We start from the raw sequence: 16,549 nt of genomic DNA on the forward strand, positions 1-16,549 counted from the left end.
AGAAATACACTGCCTGTTCATTAATTAATGCAGGCAGCTAAGGCCTCTTCTTTTTTCTTTTAAGAGACAGGGTCTCACTGTCACCCAGTCTGGAGTGCAGTGGTGTAATCACTGCAGTGGCTCAAGTGATCCTCCCACCTCAGCCTCCCTAGTAGCTGGGACTACAGTTGTACACCACAGCACCTGGCTTAAATCCTTTATGTGTGTGTGTGTGTGTGTGTGTGTGTGTGTGTGTAAAAATATGTGTATATACCTGAGGCCAGGATTTTGAGACCAGCCTGGCCAACATGCTGAAACCCCGTCTCTACTAAAAATACAAAAATTAGTCAGGTGTGTTGGTGGGTGCCTGCAATCCCAGCTACTCGGGAGGCTGAGGCAGGAGAATTGCTTGAACCTGTGAGGTGGAGGATGCAGTGAGCTGAGACTGCACCACTGTGCTCTAGCCTGGGCAACAGAGCAAGACTGTCTCAGGAAAAAAAAAAAAAAAAAGAAAGGAAAAAATGTGTTATGTACACACAGAATTGTTGTAATGGATTGAATCATGAATATCCTTGGCAAGTCTGTGACCTCACAAATGAGTGTGAAACCAGTAACTGAACGGAGATTCATGGCAGAGCTGGGCTTTTGCCAACGGCAGCCTTGCCATGGCCCTGATTCTCCAGGATGGGTGCTGGGAGGTGTGGCTGAGGGTGGCGCGGCAGGACACATTTTAAGAACATGTTAAAAGAACTGTGAGATGCTATCAGAGAAGCAGTCTCCTCCCAGGTTAGCAGGCAGGTGAATCGTGAGATCAGTTTCCCTTTCTGGCACACGCGGATAGGGCACGGCAGAGGCAGGGACCACGCTGAGAACAGAAGAGCCTCAGAGTCAGTGTGTGGGCTCAGGCAGGAGGGACTGCTGCATGAGCTCTCGATGGCAGGGGCTTTTGGCACCCAATGTCGTATGTGAGCGGCTCTCCATACACAGCTGGCATGGCCCAGATGGAAGGGTGGGGGCCCTGGCCCGCTCAGAGGAGATGGGCAGCAGCGGTCTGAGAAACACCGCAAGTGGCGCTGTCCCCGGGAGGCCCGGCGGGCTCTGCCCAGCGCCAGCCTCGGCCTTGGTCTGCGTCCCACCTACGCCGAGCCACCCCCAAGCTTCCCCAGACAGGACCATGAAAACAGCCGAGAGAGCAATGACTTAGTGTGTGAAAGGCATGGATGGATTTTATTGATTACCCTATATCTACAATTTGAGGTAAAATAGAAGCAACACATAAAAGGGCCTATTTCTGCTACCATGTCATATAATTCTCCATTGTGAATATTGTGATAAAGCTACTGAAAACTATGCCGTCACAGAGCCTAGCTTCTTGTAGAGCTGGTATTTTACAACTCGCATTGCTTGTGAAATCTCAACACATGTAAGACTCTCCTAGGAAGGCGCAGAACGTCAGAGGTTGCATCCTTAGCCCCCTGACCCCTCCTCACTCCCCGCGCTGGCACCTCAGGGTTACAAGAAGAACTAGGAAATAATGCCGGCCACGGCGACCCCTGGAGAGGGGGCCGGCTAGAACAGCGTTCCTAAGAATCCGCGCCACAGCAGGTCCCGCGATGTTGGGGCCTTAGTGTCATCGAGCTAGCCCCAATCCTCAACCCGATCTTCAACTTCTGGTACACCATGCATTTTATTTGGACGAAAAGTAAAAGTGGAAGAGGTTCTCTCTGTATTTCCTCTATAATTCACACGCTGAGATACTGACCTCTGACTGTTAGGTGATCCAGATGGTTTTGCTTTTAATTATGATAAAAAAACATAGGAACCATGAGAGATAGCTTAGGAAAAGGTTTAGTCAAATATACAGATAGGAACTGTTCACTCAGTCATTAAGGAGAGCCGTGAACAAAGGATCATTTAAATGATTTTTTTTTTTCAAATAGAAAAACTAAAGAACTGAACTATCACAGGAATTTTTCTTCACTGCAGAAGCTGAGATGTTCCAGTAGGAGAAGTAGGAGATATCTTCACTTGATTGGAAAATAAACACCGTAACTCAAGGCTCTGCTGAGTACATAAAAAATCTGGTGAGATTCATTCCTGTCATTTTCCCTGTCATTTCCCAGCATTGCTGTAAAATCCTGATAGTACATTCCCAAGTACACCAGCCATTCCAGACCCACAGTCACTCTGCTCTTTAATTCACAGAACTGCTGAAAAAGTAGACATTTCTATCTAAAAGTAGAAAAAAAGGTTTGTATAGAAGGTATTTCTGTTATACAAGTATATTACACAGCTTGGGGTAGTAACAGGTCCGAAAAGCTCTTCTCAACCACTGATACTTTAAGCTAAAATAGGAGAGAAAACAAACAAGCAAGCAAAGAGGTTAATCTAATTACAGGAATTTAACAGTCACGAATATCACAACTTAATTTGCAAATTCAGGTAACAATGACTTGGATTCAGAAGCACTCATAAAGCGGGATGAAACCTTAAGTCCATGAGCTGACAGGGTAAGGCAAATTCCAGTACAAGTCTCTGGATTAAAAAAAAAAATCCATTGTCAAAGTTTCCTGACTTCGGGTCTCAAGCTACTGCTCCTATTATAACTTGGCCAAATTTAAGAAATCTGGACTAACAGGATCAGACTTGTTAACTCTGCAAGATGAACAAAAGATCTGCAGCTCTGTGAGACTCTGCAAAATACTATTACTATGGAAAAAAAAAAGTCAGTCTAATGATTCTGACTCATAGTGAATTCCAATGAGGAGGACAACGTTGACTCTATTTAGAAACAGAACATTCTTTTTAAGGCAAAAGTGCTTTTACATCTTTGACTGAGAGACATATATTGATCCAAGGAGAATCTCCCTGTAGAATCTTCTAGCTTAAATATCCGGGAAGGCTCCCACCTGGCTCCCACATTCCCTGAAGGCAGGGCCACCATCTTATGTGAAAGTGGGGAGATCACATTAGCTACGCGTATGCAGGGGGTTCAGATGGACGCCACACAGCATCCCTGACACAGAAGCTGATTTACCCTAGGAGGGAAGAGGTCTACCACGTGGGGTCTGGTTCTTGCTTGATCTGAGAGCTTCCATCAGTCTCTTTTATTTCTATCAACAGAAACAAAACGGTACCGATTAATTATTTTGCAGACCTGCTCAGTGATAAATCCATTCGTACCAAACTATTTACTAAGATATGGTTTAATAAGAAGGACAAGACACCAAACATCAAAAGAGCTTCAGAGAGACATCTCTTTAGCAATACATTCAAAATTTTGTTACTTATGTTTTCAAAGTAACATACATCTTCTGGCTTACATGCATTTAAAGGACACACGTTAGGTTATCTAGGTTATGTAGCAGAGTCATTCACGGAGAATTTACCAAGTCATCTGGGGGAAATGGAGCAAAAGCAGCTATGCGTCATCACTCAACAGCATAACCTGCAAATCCAATTCACCCAGAAGAAAGAGAGCAAAACCACCACCCAGTTCTAGTGAAATAGTTTAAATGCACAATCCTTTGTCCTGATAAAAAAGTCTTGGCTGGGCAAGGTGGCTCGCGCCTGTAATCCGAGCACTTTGGAGGCCAAGGCTGGCGGATCACTTGAGGTCAGAAGTCTGAGACTAGCCTGGCCAACATGGTGAAACCCCGTTTCTACTAAAAATACAAAAATTAGCCAAGCATGGTGGTGCAGGCCTGTAATCCCAGCTACTCGGGAGGCTGAGGCAGGAGAACTGCTTGAGCCCGGGAGGCGGAGGTTGCAGAGATCGCACAACCTCACTCCACCCTGGGTGACAGAGCAAGTCTCTGTCTTTAAAAAAAAAAAAAAGAAGAAGAAGAAAGAAGAAGTCTTAAGGACTTGCAGGACCACCCCACCCTTTTACCTTCTGTGGCTGGAACTTCCAACTGGCTTGGTTCAGCTGATTCTAAAGAGAAACACAGAGACTGATTTCCACATTGTTCAACAGCTGCTTTATACTATGTAAAGAACCCAGGAGGAGGAAGAGGAGAAAAGCCCTCTAGACTCTGTACAAACACAGGTGCATGATGAAACAATGCTCACGGTCTTGAGATGGAGCACACGATTATCCAAGTGTACTTTCAAATTTCTGTTTTTCAAATGTGGTCCTAAGTTCACATATACAACTGAAGTTTGAAAGAGCAGAGTCTTAACATAGCTCTACCATGAAAACAAGCTCCTTAGTTATGCTTTCTCCCTTATCCTTCTGTTTACTCCCTTTAATAAAAGCTTTTCATTACTTTTTTTGTTTTTCTTCGTATGTTTGTTTTTTTGAGACAGAATCTCCTTTCTGTTGCCCAGGCTGGAGTGCAGTGGCACGATCTTGGCTCACTGCGACCTCCGCCTCCCAGGCTCAAGCGGTTCTCCTGCCTCAGCCTCCTGAGTAGCCGGCACACGCCACCACGTCTGGCTAGTTTTTGTATTCTTAGTAGAGACGGGGTTGCACCATGTTGGCCAGGCTGGTCTCGAACTCCTGATCTCAAGTGATCTACCCTTCTCAGCCTTCCAAAGTGCTGGGATAACAGGCGTGAGCCACCGCGCCCAGTCTCATTACTTTCAATGACTCACACAGCACCAGGCCATTCCACTTGTTTTTTAAGGAATTTTTTAAGAGCACAATCTGTACATTTCTACTGAAGAACATTTTGCTCACTGACTTATGGCAGACATTAGAAATGGATGGCAGAGTCAGGTTAAAGTGACGGCCCTCTTGCTCTGCCATTTCATCCTACCCATTAATCCTGGGGTTCCTGATGTTAGGCCTGAGCTGGGATAGGGGGTGCAAATGGTCTGCAGCCCCCAGTTCTCAATCAGGACCCACAGCTTGAATTTATGTTTTGATCAGCTGTCAAACCCAGGAGTGAAAACCACAGAGAAGCATGTGTGTGCTGTGTAACTGAGTCCCCTCAGGGCAGGTGACTGAGAGCCGAAGCCACACGCAGGCACGCCATGTGTGCCACTGTGCAGGCAGGAGTAGCTCCGGGCCCTCCCCTGCCTCGCTCACCTTGTATCACGGGGCCTTCTGACTCACTCTGATCAACCAGCTCTGAAAATGAAGCAGATTGGTTTAAATAATGTAAGGATGTGTTGTTCCCTTGGAAAAGCATTTTAACATACATTTGCTGTTTCCCTCAAGATGAGAAGGAAACAAACCTCAGAGTTCTGATATGTCCCTCAGAATCACTAATTCACAGTAATTACCATAAAACTCTATACCACACTACCGCACAAGAACAGGAACAAAAGAGAACATTTTATTTATTTATTTATTGGGACAGAGTTTTGCTCTTGTTGCCCAGGCTGGAGTGCAATGGCACGATCTCAGCTCACTGCAACCTCCACCTCTAGGATTCAAGCAACTCTCCTGCCTCAGCCTCCTGAGTAGCTGGGATTACAGGCACGCGCCACCACACCCAGCTGATTTTTGTATTTTTAGTAGAGACAGGCTTTCACCATGTTGGACGGGCTGGTCTCCAACTCCCAACCTCAACTGATCCGCCTGCCTCAGCCTCCCAAACTGCTGGGATTACAGGCGTGAGCCACCACGCCTGGCCTCACTTTTATACATTTTTAATAATAAAGTTAAGAAAACAAAACACACTCGCAAAATTAAGTTTGGCTCAAAATACTATTGAAAATGACATCAACGTTAAGGAATTGAAAGGACATTTGTTCACTCGCTCAGCAATATTTGAGAGCCCCATGTGTGCCAGGCACTGTGCTGAAATACTAACAGAAGCAGGCACATTGTGACTTACTTTGTAACGAAATCCAAGCACAGTAATTATAACAGTCATAAAAGCAGTAATAAATATAGATTGTATTCGCTGAGCACATACTGTAGGCTAAACACATACTAGAGGCTAGACACTGTTCTAGGTTAGGGGGATGCAAACTCTTTTCTTGCAGAGCCAATTAGTAAATATTTTAGGTTTTGCAGGCACACACTTGCTGCTGCCATCTCTCAGTTCTGCCATAAACAAATGGACACGATGGTGGTTTCAATAAAACTTTATGCATACACGTCGGCAGGAGCTTGCTGACACCTGTTCCAGATGCTTTCCATCTACTGGAACGACTCCCCCAAAATCGGTGCTATTATTACCATTTTATGATTAAGTGCATCGAGGATAGGAAGTTAAGAAGCTTGAATAATTTTACAACTAGGAAGTGCCTGGTGTTTTTACTGAGGGCTAAAACAAGTATTTGGCCTGGTTACTGACATAGGTGAAGTAACGTGATATACGTTAAGCATGTATACACACTCACACGCACACACGTCAGACCCCAGGAAAAAACAAAAACAAAACACTTCACAAAATACTCACGGTTATTAATCACAAGTCCTGGAAATGGTCTAAAGAGAGAAACAAATTGTAAAGTATAACAATTTATTTTCACTCTGTAAGAATTTACAGGTATAACTGTTTATTCAACTCATATCTAGCCCACGTCATTTACGTACTACAATGAGAAGTATTATCCGTGACCTTATAAGCTTATGGAAGAGATAGATACGTATCAATAATAAGAACACTGTTAGAAAGTGTTAAGCTACTAGTAAATGGAGGAAAAACAAAAAATAGAAACGCAGAGCAGGGAACAGAGTGATTCTAAGTTTAACATACGGAAGAACGGAAGGGGCTTTTTGCCTAACTCCTGGGAGTGATATGGAGAATGACGGTGGGTGAAGTGGAACCAAAATATGAGATTTTGAGGGAAAGAAGATTGGAAGAAGACGAGTGTATGAGAAGCCTCAAGAGGATTTATTATGAGATTTCTGAGTGCCAGTCCCAAGAGACCTGAACTAGAGACAGTGGCAATCTGATGATGAAATGATTGGGTAGGTTGAGTCGTAGCTGTTTCTGGGGGGCTGGAAGACAAAGGGGAAGATAACCTGGGGTTGGTGCTCAGGTGGGCATCTCTTACAGTGACAAGGACGTGGGAAGGAATGTGGCACTCACAATGGTGTCAGAGGTGAGTACAATCATCATGCCTGCTCTACGGGAAGGAGCTGACACTCTCAGTGGGAACAACGATCAATCTCATTTACAGACAAAGAACAGAGTGACCTGGCTAACAAATGGCTGATGCAAGGTTGAATCCGTCTGACCCGAAGCCTGTGACAAGGCGCCCTAAGACAGAGGTTGACAAAGTTCTTTTTTTCTTGTGATGGAGTCTCACTCTGTCGTCCAGGCTGGAGTGCAGTGGCATGATCTTGGCTCATTGCAACCTCCACCTCCTGGGTTCAAGCGACTATCCTGCCTCAGCCTCCCGAGTAGCTGGGATTACAGGCACCCGCCATCATGCCCAGCTAACTGTTTTATTTTTGTAGAGATGGGATTTCACCATGTTGGCCAGGCTGGTCTGGAACTCCTGACCTCAGGTGATCTGCCTGCCTTGGCCTCCCAAAATGCTGGGATTACAGGCGTTAGCCACTGTGCCTAGCTAAGGTTTTTCTACAAAGTGCTAGAGAGTAAATATTTTAGACTTTGGAGGCCATGCCTTCTCAGTCCCAGCTACTTACTCACTGTGACAGGAAAGCAGCCATGGATAATACGGGTGTAGCTGTGTTTCAGGAAGACTCTAAAAATAGGAGGCAGGCTGAATTTGGCAAACAGTCCTAGTTTGCCAACCCTTTGCCAAAGAATTAAAAGAGTCAGCTTAGTTCGTAGAAGCACATCTGACATTCTAATGATGACACAAGTTATTTTGATTTGTTGATTGCACAGCATAGGAAGCCGGATTCGATGACTACCTGTGGCTGCATTTTAGAAGAGTCAGCCTCATGAGCTCCAGATTCGCTCCTGTGACTAAGCAGGAAACTCTCACTTACCTAATGACCGTGAATTTGATAAACTCGGCAGAGTCTAAGATCCTTCTCATGGAGCTGATTTCCAGGTAGCTGGGGGCTTTGAAGGACACCCCCGGGGGCATGCCATCAACCACCACACAGCCAGGGTTAATTGTGATTTTCCTGTAGGGAACTTTCACAGGAAAACCCATACCAATAGCTTCACCTACAGGGACAGTGAGACAAACAGCACAACAGCACAGATTAACCCACCGCCTTAAACAGCCTGTCAAAAGCACAAGATCAACATTTATTTTAAAGACTGTCTCTGCTGTTAACTAAGGTCTTTGTACACTTCAAACAAATTTAAATATGAACCTTAAATTTTTTTTTTTTTTGAGACAGAGTCTTGCTCTGTCACCCAGGTTGGAGTGTGGTGGCTTGATCTCAGCTCACTGCAATCTCTGCCTCCCAGGTTCAAGCAATTCTCGTGCCACAGCCTCCTGAGTAGCTGGGATTACAGGTGTGCACCACCATACCCGGCTAATTTTTTGAATTTTTTAGTAGAGACAGGGTTTCACTATGTTGGCCAGGCTGGTCTCGAACTCCTGGCCTCAACTGATCCACCTGCCTCGGGCTCCCAAAATGCTGGGATTACAAGTGTGAGCCACACTGCCAGATGGTGAACCTTAAATTCATTAACTTTCATACTGACAATCAATAGTGTAACACTAATGGTATCTTATTAAATAAATTTAGCACAAACAACTCACTTTTAAATTTTAACTCCTTTTATATAGGATTACAACCATCTAACCATCATCTGCTGAAAAGATCTTATTAAAACAAATCTCTTTGCTTATAGCAACTGTACTTTGCAAATGCAAAACTTACCAAATTTCCGACTAAAGAGGTCATTCACTTGTTCTCTTAGCGACAGCTTTTTCAACTTTCGAGAGTCTTTCATTATCATCATCTGAAACAGTTCAGAGAAAACCCAAAACTTAAATACTGCTTTTTTTTTTTTTATGGTAAAGAGATGGTATCTCACGATGTTGCCCAGACTGGCCTTGAACTCTTGGGCTCAAGCGATCCTCCTGCCTAAGCCTCCCAAGTAGCCGAGACTACAGGTACAAGCCGCTGCTCAATGATGCACTTTTAATCCCAATTTTTAGGAGCTCTGTGTAATGTTTTCAAGCATTTTCCATTTTTTAATGATTTAAGTATTTGAGCACTTTGAGCTAATTAAATTTGAAATTGTTTAAAATAATGCCTAACTAAAAATGCTACAAATTTATTCTTGTTATAAAGACCTTTACCTGCTGTTTTATATAGATTTTTTTTTTTTCCCAGATGGAGTATGGCTCTGTCACCAAGGCTGGAGTGCACTGGCCCCATCTCGGCTCACTGCGACCTCCACCTCCCGGGTTCAAGCACTTCTCCTGCCTCAGCCTCCCAAGTAGCTGGGATTACAGCCACACACAACCAGGCCTGGCTAATTTTTCTTGTATGTTTAGTAGAGTCAGGGTTTCACCACGTTGGCTAGGCTGGTTTTGAATTCCTGACCTCAAGCGATCCTCCTGCCTCAGCCTCCCAAAGTGCTGGGATTACAGGCGTGAGCCACCGTGCCCGGTCTCATATAGACTTTTTTTAAGGAACAGACTAGACATTTGGGTGGTTAACAGGATTTAGCTCATGCCAAGTGCCAAAACTTGCCGTTGCTGTTTGGAGAGCAACTGTATTTGGAAGGCAACTGCTATAGGAGTCTGGGAGGAGCACCAGGCAACGTGTAATGTATCCGAGTCCCCGGATGAGCTGAGCAAACCTCTCTAGTTGGGAAAGTCCAAGAGGCCCTGAAGAGACCCCCAAAAACTCTGATGGAAGCAGAGAAATCATACCTGGAATTGTCACCTGAATGATGTTAAGGTCTTCAACACCTGATGCAGTAGTATTAACATTGGGTGATGAATTTATTTTTCCTGAAAATATACATTTAAAATCAGAATTTGTAGAAAACACGGTCAACATCTCTAATAATCATGCTGTCTGAGACTGTTTTATCTCAGTCCTGTTCAAGGTTCTTTCTTTCCATGGTAGATCATTTCAAGAAGACATGATGCCCCCTGAAGGGCTGCCTTTCACTGTTTTTCTCTTCCTGGGGGTACTTAGGAGATCATCACACACTCACAGAGCCACCCAATTATTAAATAACTAAAAATTGTGAAATAGCCTGAACTACAACTTTGAATGGGTTTTCTTTTTTCTTTTTGAGATGAGTCTTGCTCTGTTGTCCAGGCTGGAGTGCAGTGGTGCGATCTCGGCTCACTGCAACTTCCGCCTCCCGGGTTCAAGTGATTCTGCTGTCTCAGCCTCCTGAGTAGCTGGGATTATAGGCGCCTGCCACCACGCCTGGCTAATTTTTTATATTTTTAGTAGAGACAGGGTTTTGCCGTGTTGGCCAGGCTGGTCTCAAACTCCTGACCTCAGGTGATCCACCCACCTCAGCCTCCCAAAGTGCTGGGATTACAGGCGTGAACCACCATGCCTGGCCTCAATGGCTATTCTTTAAACAATGTTTGTAAACCACAGCTGCACAATGCATGCCTAAGAGCGTGTGTTCTATAGCAATGAAAATACAGAAAATACACTCACTGGGAGGGCTCTTAGAGGAGGTGCTCTCCTTAATCGCCGTCTCAAACATTTCGGGCCTATAGACAAAAGAGAAAAAAAATGTGCTGATCAAACAGTAAAACTCTAACATTAAAATTTAAACAACTCAAAGATTTACAAACCAGTAACTCTGTAAAGTCTAAATTCAATTCTTAGTCATGAAGAACAGAAATCACATGCTTATCTAAAGAACCACAGCCAAAAAGACAAACCACAATTGTAAATTTAACATCCATTGCTGCCTCTCATTGGCTGCCCTTCCCCTACACTGGTTTTATTGGCATCTTCTTTCCAAGGTTAGAATGTATCCTGAAAAGAATCAGCGCCAGAATTGAGGATGCAAAGAGAAAACGCCCCACAAACGCAGCATGGAAACACAAGATGGGCTGTGAAAACAGGAGCACTTGAGGCTCTCACTCCGGAAGCAGAAGCAGAGGGCTTAGAGGCTGCCAAACCTCTGCAGACCTGGCCAAAAGCATAAAAGGTGGCCATTGGCCGGGCGCGGTGGCTCACGCCTGTAATCCCAGCACTTTGGGAGGCCGAGGCAGGCGGATCATGAGGTCAGGGGTTTGAGACTAGCCTGACCAACATGGTGAAACCCCTTCTCTACTAAAAATACAAAAATTAGCTGGGCATGGTGGCACATGCCTGTAATCCCAGCTACTTTGGAGGCTGAGGCAGGAGAATCGCTTGAACCCAGGAGGCGGAATTTGCAGTAAGCCGATATCACACACCACTGCACTCCAGTCTTGGGTACAGAGCGAGATTCTGTCTCACAAAAAAAAAAAAAAAAAAAAGTGGCCAGCTTTGCTTGAGAGCATCCCTGGGTGACTCAAAATTAAGCCTGACACCAAGCAAATGAAACCTAAAATTCATTTCAATTGATTTCAAATAATTCATGTGCATTAGCATGTACTATAAAATTCCAATTATTCTTATTTCTTTTTTTAATTTTTTTTGAGACAGAGTCTTACTCTGTCATCCAGGCTGGAGTGCAATGGCACGATCTCCTCCGCCTCCTGGGTTCAAGTGATTCTCCTGTCTCAGCCTCCCTGAGTAGCTGAGATTATAGGTGCCAGCTACCACCCCTGGCTATTTTTTTTTTTTTTTTTTTGTATTTTAAGTAGAGATGGGGCTTCACCATGTTGGCCAGGCTGGTCTCGAACTCCTGACCTCAAGTGATCTGCCTGCCTTAGCCTCCCACAGTGCTGGGATTTATGGCCGCACCCGGCCCATTCCTATCTATTTCAATTATGTTAGCCTAATCCACAGATGTTCAAGCAAACAGGAGAAATTGAAAATATTCTATTAAGTTGGAGAAATAAAAGGACTTGAAAAACTAAACAGCTGCTCAGATTCCAGCAGCATCAAATAGTAACAACATAGCTGTGTAGATTTAGCAACCAAAAGTCGTTATCTCTCTAGTATGGTGGAGTCCTCCTTCCCTTCTACCAGCAGCATAAGGAAAATTTCTTCTTCTTTTTTTTTTTTTTTTGTTTTTGAGATGGAGTTTTGCTCTTGCTGCCCAGGCTGGAGTGCAGTGGCACGATCTTGGCTCATTGCAACCTCTGCCTGCTGGGTTCAAGTGATTCTCCTGCCTCAGTCTCCCAAGTAGCTGGGATTACAGGCACGTGCCACCACGCCCAGCTAATTTTTGTACTTTTAGTAGAGATGGGTTTCATCATGTTGGCCAGGTTGGTCCTGAACTTCTGACCTCAGGTAATCCACCTGCTTTGGCCTCCCAAAGTGCTGGGATTACAGGTGTGAGCCATCGCACCTGGCCAGAAGTTTTAAACATATACAAGAGTGCAGCTTAAAAAGCAGTTTTTCTGACTCCAGAGCTAATTCAGCCCTGCCACAAACACAAACCCACATACCCATCTCCCAGTGTCAAACACAATCAACTCATGCTAATCCCACTTCATCCAGTTTCCTTACTTTTTAATGATGAACTTAATTTTGGCTTTGTTTCTGAGTATCTTCTCCAGCCTCGGAATGCCAAAAGTCGATGGTCTTCGGAATGGCACACCCTCAGGTAAGCCTTCCACATAAAAGTCTTCCGGGAAAGACTCAAATAACGCGAACGGCACCTTCACAGCTTGTTTAAGGCCAAGAGCTTCCCCTGCAAAACAGCCGCGTACACGAAACAGAACATGGGCGAAATGACGCCATTCAATCCCGAAAAACCCACACGTTGCCAATGACAGGGATACTCCAACGCTCAGTATCCCACTCTGCTCCCTCCTACTCCCATGAAGGCACCCTGCGTGGCAGTAAGAAAGTTTCAAAATAGACTTACCACATTTCTCATTGAAGAGATTTTCAACTTTCTGTTTTAGGTCCGTGATTTTGGCATTCCAGGCCTCTGCATATAAAACATAAGAGAGTTAAATTGCAATACTTATCACAGTACTTATCAATACACATTCACAGGCAGGAGTGTTTCATCTTATTTGTGCATCTTATTTTTTTTTTGTTGAGACAGAGTTTCGCTCTTGTTACCCAGGCTGGAGGGCAATGGTGCGATCTCTGCTCACTGCAACCTCCACCTCCTGAGTTCAAGCAGTTCTCCTGCCTCAGCCTCCTGAGTAGCTGGGATTACAGGCATGTGCCACCATGCCTGGCTAATTTTGTATTTTTGGTAGACACGGGGTTTCTCCATGTTGGTCAGGCTGGTCTCGAACTCCCAACCTCAGGTGATCCGCCCACCTCGGCCTCCCAAAGTGTTGGGATTACAGGCGTGAGCCACTGCGCCTGGCCTTATTTGTGCATCTTTAAGAAGAAATAAAAAATGCATAATCTTTTACCATGATATGACTTGACAACTACTCCCATCCTGATACATAAGCAAACTGTTTTAGTACATTGTTTTTATGTTGACTACAAATAAGTGAACAAATGCTAAAATAAAGAAAAAACAAATGAAAACCCCCAAAATGCCCCCACAAATTATAGTCTCTACTACATGCGAGGTATGGTTCTAAGTACTTTAAATGACAGTATTTATAATCCTCACCATAACCTCATGAGAAAGAAAGTAATGTTATTACCATTTTGCACAAAGGGAAACTGAGGCAGGGTGTATTCGCCTGCCCAAGTGGCATCGGATTTGAACTCAGATCTGAACTCAGGCAGCCTGGCTCTACGGGCTATTCCTTTAACCTTTGATATATACTGACTCACCAATAGGAACAATTCACCTGGTAAAATGAAACATAATGAACGTATTCTATTTAAAACTATGAAAGAAAGAAAAATAAAACGCTTACTTACCAAAGGAAAACTCTCTCCCTCGTGGCTTGAAGGGAACGTTAGAACCGTTAGTCTGGGTCGGGGTTCGAACAGCTGAGGTTTGAGGATTGTTGTTATTAGGGCCTAAAAGACAGAAAAAATAATGATAATCAACACACATTTAATGACGTAAGTGTCTCTAGGTTACAATCTTCAAGTCCAGCCTGTGCCAGAAAACAAAGCTAGGTTCAAATTGAAATGGGTATTCTTGTCATTCCGGCGAGTTCCACAGAAACCATTTTTCTATTTCTACAGAAACCCATTTTTCTTCTCTTCTTCTTCTTCTTCTTCTTCTTTTTTTTTTTTTTTTGAGACAAAGTTTCGCTCTTGTTGCCCAGGCTGGAGTGCAATGGCGCAATCTCGGCTCACCACAACCTCTGCCTCCTGGTTTCAAGCGATTGTCTTGCCTCAGCCTCCTGAGTAGCTGGGATTACAGGCATGCGCCACCAGGCCCAGATAATTTTGTATTTTCAGTAGAGATGGGGTTTCTCCATGTTGGTCAGGCTGGTCTCGATCTCCCAACCTCAGGTGATCCGCCTGCCTCGGCCTCCCAAAGTGCTGGGATTACAGGCGTGAGCCTCCACGCCTGGCCCTAATTTTGTATTCTTAAAGCAGGCCTCCCAGGCCCCGTGAACTTGGCTCTGCCCTTTAGGAAAGGCTGGCATCTTGTATATAAGAGAGATCTTCCTCTGATCTCTTCCGGAAGGAGGAAAGTCAAGGGTTCAATATATTTTTAATTCTTGGCATTTTTGAACAGAAATAATTAATCAGGTGTAAGTTGTCCATGGATGCCTGTTGGCTATCTTATGAGAAAGCAGGCTCTCTGAAAGTGTGCCACATGACTAAATAGGGACTTCTGCGCCACTCAACACCAGTACGGCAAACTCTTATTTAAAAACTTGACACCTGGGATGTAGAGAATGATCCTAATGCAGTGATTTCCTTCTGCATTTATGAAGAGATGGAAGAAATATCCATACTTGACAGTTGGTTGGAGATTGTCTTTAGTATTGTATGCAGTATTTTAACACTGTGAGCCTGAAAAGACAAGAACCAGCTGGGCGTGGTGGCTCACTTGAGGTCAGGGGTTCGAGACCAGCCTGGCCAACGTGGTAAAACCCCGTCTCTACTAAAGATATAAAAATTAGCTGGAGTTGGTGGTGGACGCCTGTAATCCCAGCTACCTGGGAGGCTGAGGCAGGAGAATCACTTGACCCGGGAGGCGGAGGCTGCAGTGAGCCGAGATTGTGCCACTGCACTCCACCCTGGGCAAGAGAGCCAGACTCTGTCTCAAAAAAGAAAAAGAAAATAATTCAAGGCACTGCTGTTTAAACCACCCTAAACTTTCTTTCCTTAAAAGAATAGAAAAAAATGAAGAGGAAAAAAAAGATAAAACATTCCACATGACTCTGCACCCTTATTTGTTATGATAAAGGAAAAGCATTTTAGGACTTTTCTTGGGGGAAGTTTATGATGTGATCCATGTTATCTGTTTTCTATTAAGGATTTAAAAATTTTCAATTAGAAGCATTCAGAAATTTAGCTTTATCACAGGCAGCTGTTCACAGTTAAAAGCTAGTTTGGTTAACGTCATCTGTATAAACCTGTATAAACACATAGCTAGTGAACTGACATAATTAGTAAACTAGAGAATGAACAGAAACATACCGAGGACTGGCCCTTACCTTCCACGGTGACCTCAATTTCAGGAACCTTTGAATTACTCCCAGGACTTCGTGGTCTTTTGGGGGACTGCAAAGCTGTAAAATAAGCAGAGTTCCTTTTGTATATTGTAGGGAAAAAAAAATACAGAAGGAGATGCTTTATAAGAGCAGAGTATTAAAATTCATACAGTTTGGTTCTTTTCAAAGAAACCTGCAGAATTAAACTTGTAGTGTAATCCTCCACAGGGGCTCAACAAAGCTGTGAAAACATGAATGAACTGGGATTGCAAATGTGACATTTCCAATGAAATGTTTTGTTTTTTTAAAAAAAAAAAAGAAAAATAGTTCCATTAAATAAAATACCTTAGAAAGCAAAGTAAACAACTCCAAGCCCCACAGAGATATTGGCCGATTCCGTATGATTTAAGGAATGCGGATAAAGAGTGTCTTAATGCGCTCAAATAGGATACGGAGTACACGTCGTCTCTTACCTTTAGTGTTTATTTTACTAGCCATCCCAGGAGGCAAGTAGGAAATAACTAGTTCAGGTCTAGAAAGAAAACCAAGAAGTGTTACAGTAGCCAGTACAGTGGTGGCCTCACAGCTAGTAAAACGGTCGTGATGTGATCAGGGTTTTTTTTCTAAAGGCATTCACAGAATCATCCTGTAACACAATAATTCCTAGTGTTGTGGACAAAAGACCCTGACTTTTCCTTCCCATGACTGGTAAGCCATTTTATGAAGAGTAAATAAGTGACTATTTTCATTAAAAAAGAAAAAAAAAACACTAGTGTACTTTCTTTAGCCACTAAAATTCTGCAGAAATGTAGATAAGAAAATCAATCATTAGGCCGTGCACGGTGGCTCATGCCTGTAATCCCAGCATTCTGGGAGGCTGAGGCGGGTGGATCACCTGAGGTCAGGAATTCCAGACCAGCCTAGCCAACACGGTGAAGCTCCATCTATTCTAAAAATACAAAAATTAGCCAGGCGTGGCGGTGCAAGTCTGTAATCCCAGCTACTCGGGAGGCTGAGGCACGAGAATTGCTCGAACCCAGGAGGCGGAGGTTGCAGTGAGCTCAGATTGCGCCACCGCACTCAAGCCTGGGCGACAGAGCAAGAG

General features: G+C 44.0%; 1 pseudogene across 1 annotated transcript in view; it reads right to left on the reverse strand.

Moving 5' to 3' along the window:
• Nucleotides 1–1,179: 1,179 nt before the first annotated feature.
• GTF2IP1 (general transcription factor IIi pseudogene 1) overlaps nt 1,180–16,549 on the reverse strand; it is a 52,323-nt pseudogene continuing 36,953 nt past the window's right edge. Inside the window, exons 11-24 of the transcript NR_002206.3 lie at nt 15,918–15,976; nt 15,448–15,522; nt 13,745–13,846; nt 12,771–12,836; nt 12,410–12,593; nt 10,454–10,509; nt 9,700–9,780; nt 8,696–8,777; nt 7,844–8,027; nt 6,336–6,364; nt 5,012–5,053; nt 3,872–3,913; nt 3,017–3,092; nt 1,180–2,324 (exon numbers count right to left, since the gene is read on the reverse strand). The product of NR_002206.3 is annotated as a general transcription factor IIi pseudogene 1 (transcript). The remainder of the gene's footprint in view (nt 2,325–3,016; nt 3,093–3,871; nt 3,914–5,011; nt 5,054–6,335; nt 6,365–7,843; nt 8,028–8,695; nt 8,778–9,699; nt 9,781–10,453; nt 10,510–12,409; nt 12,594–12,770; nt 12,837–13,744; nt 13,847–15,447; nt 15,523–15,917; nt 15,977–16,549) is intronic.

The sequence above is a fragment of the Homo sapiens genome, chromosome 7, assembly GCF_000001405.40.
Source record: "Homo sapiens chromosome 7, GRCh38.p14 Primary Assembly".
In the NCBI taxonomy this organism is placed as follows: domain Eukaryota; kingdom Metazoa; phylum Chordata; class Mammalia; order Primates; family Hominidae; genus Homo; species Homo sapiens.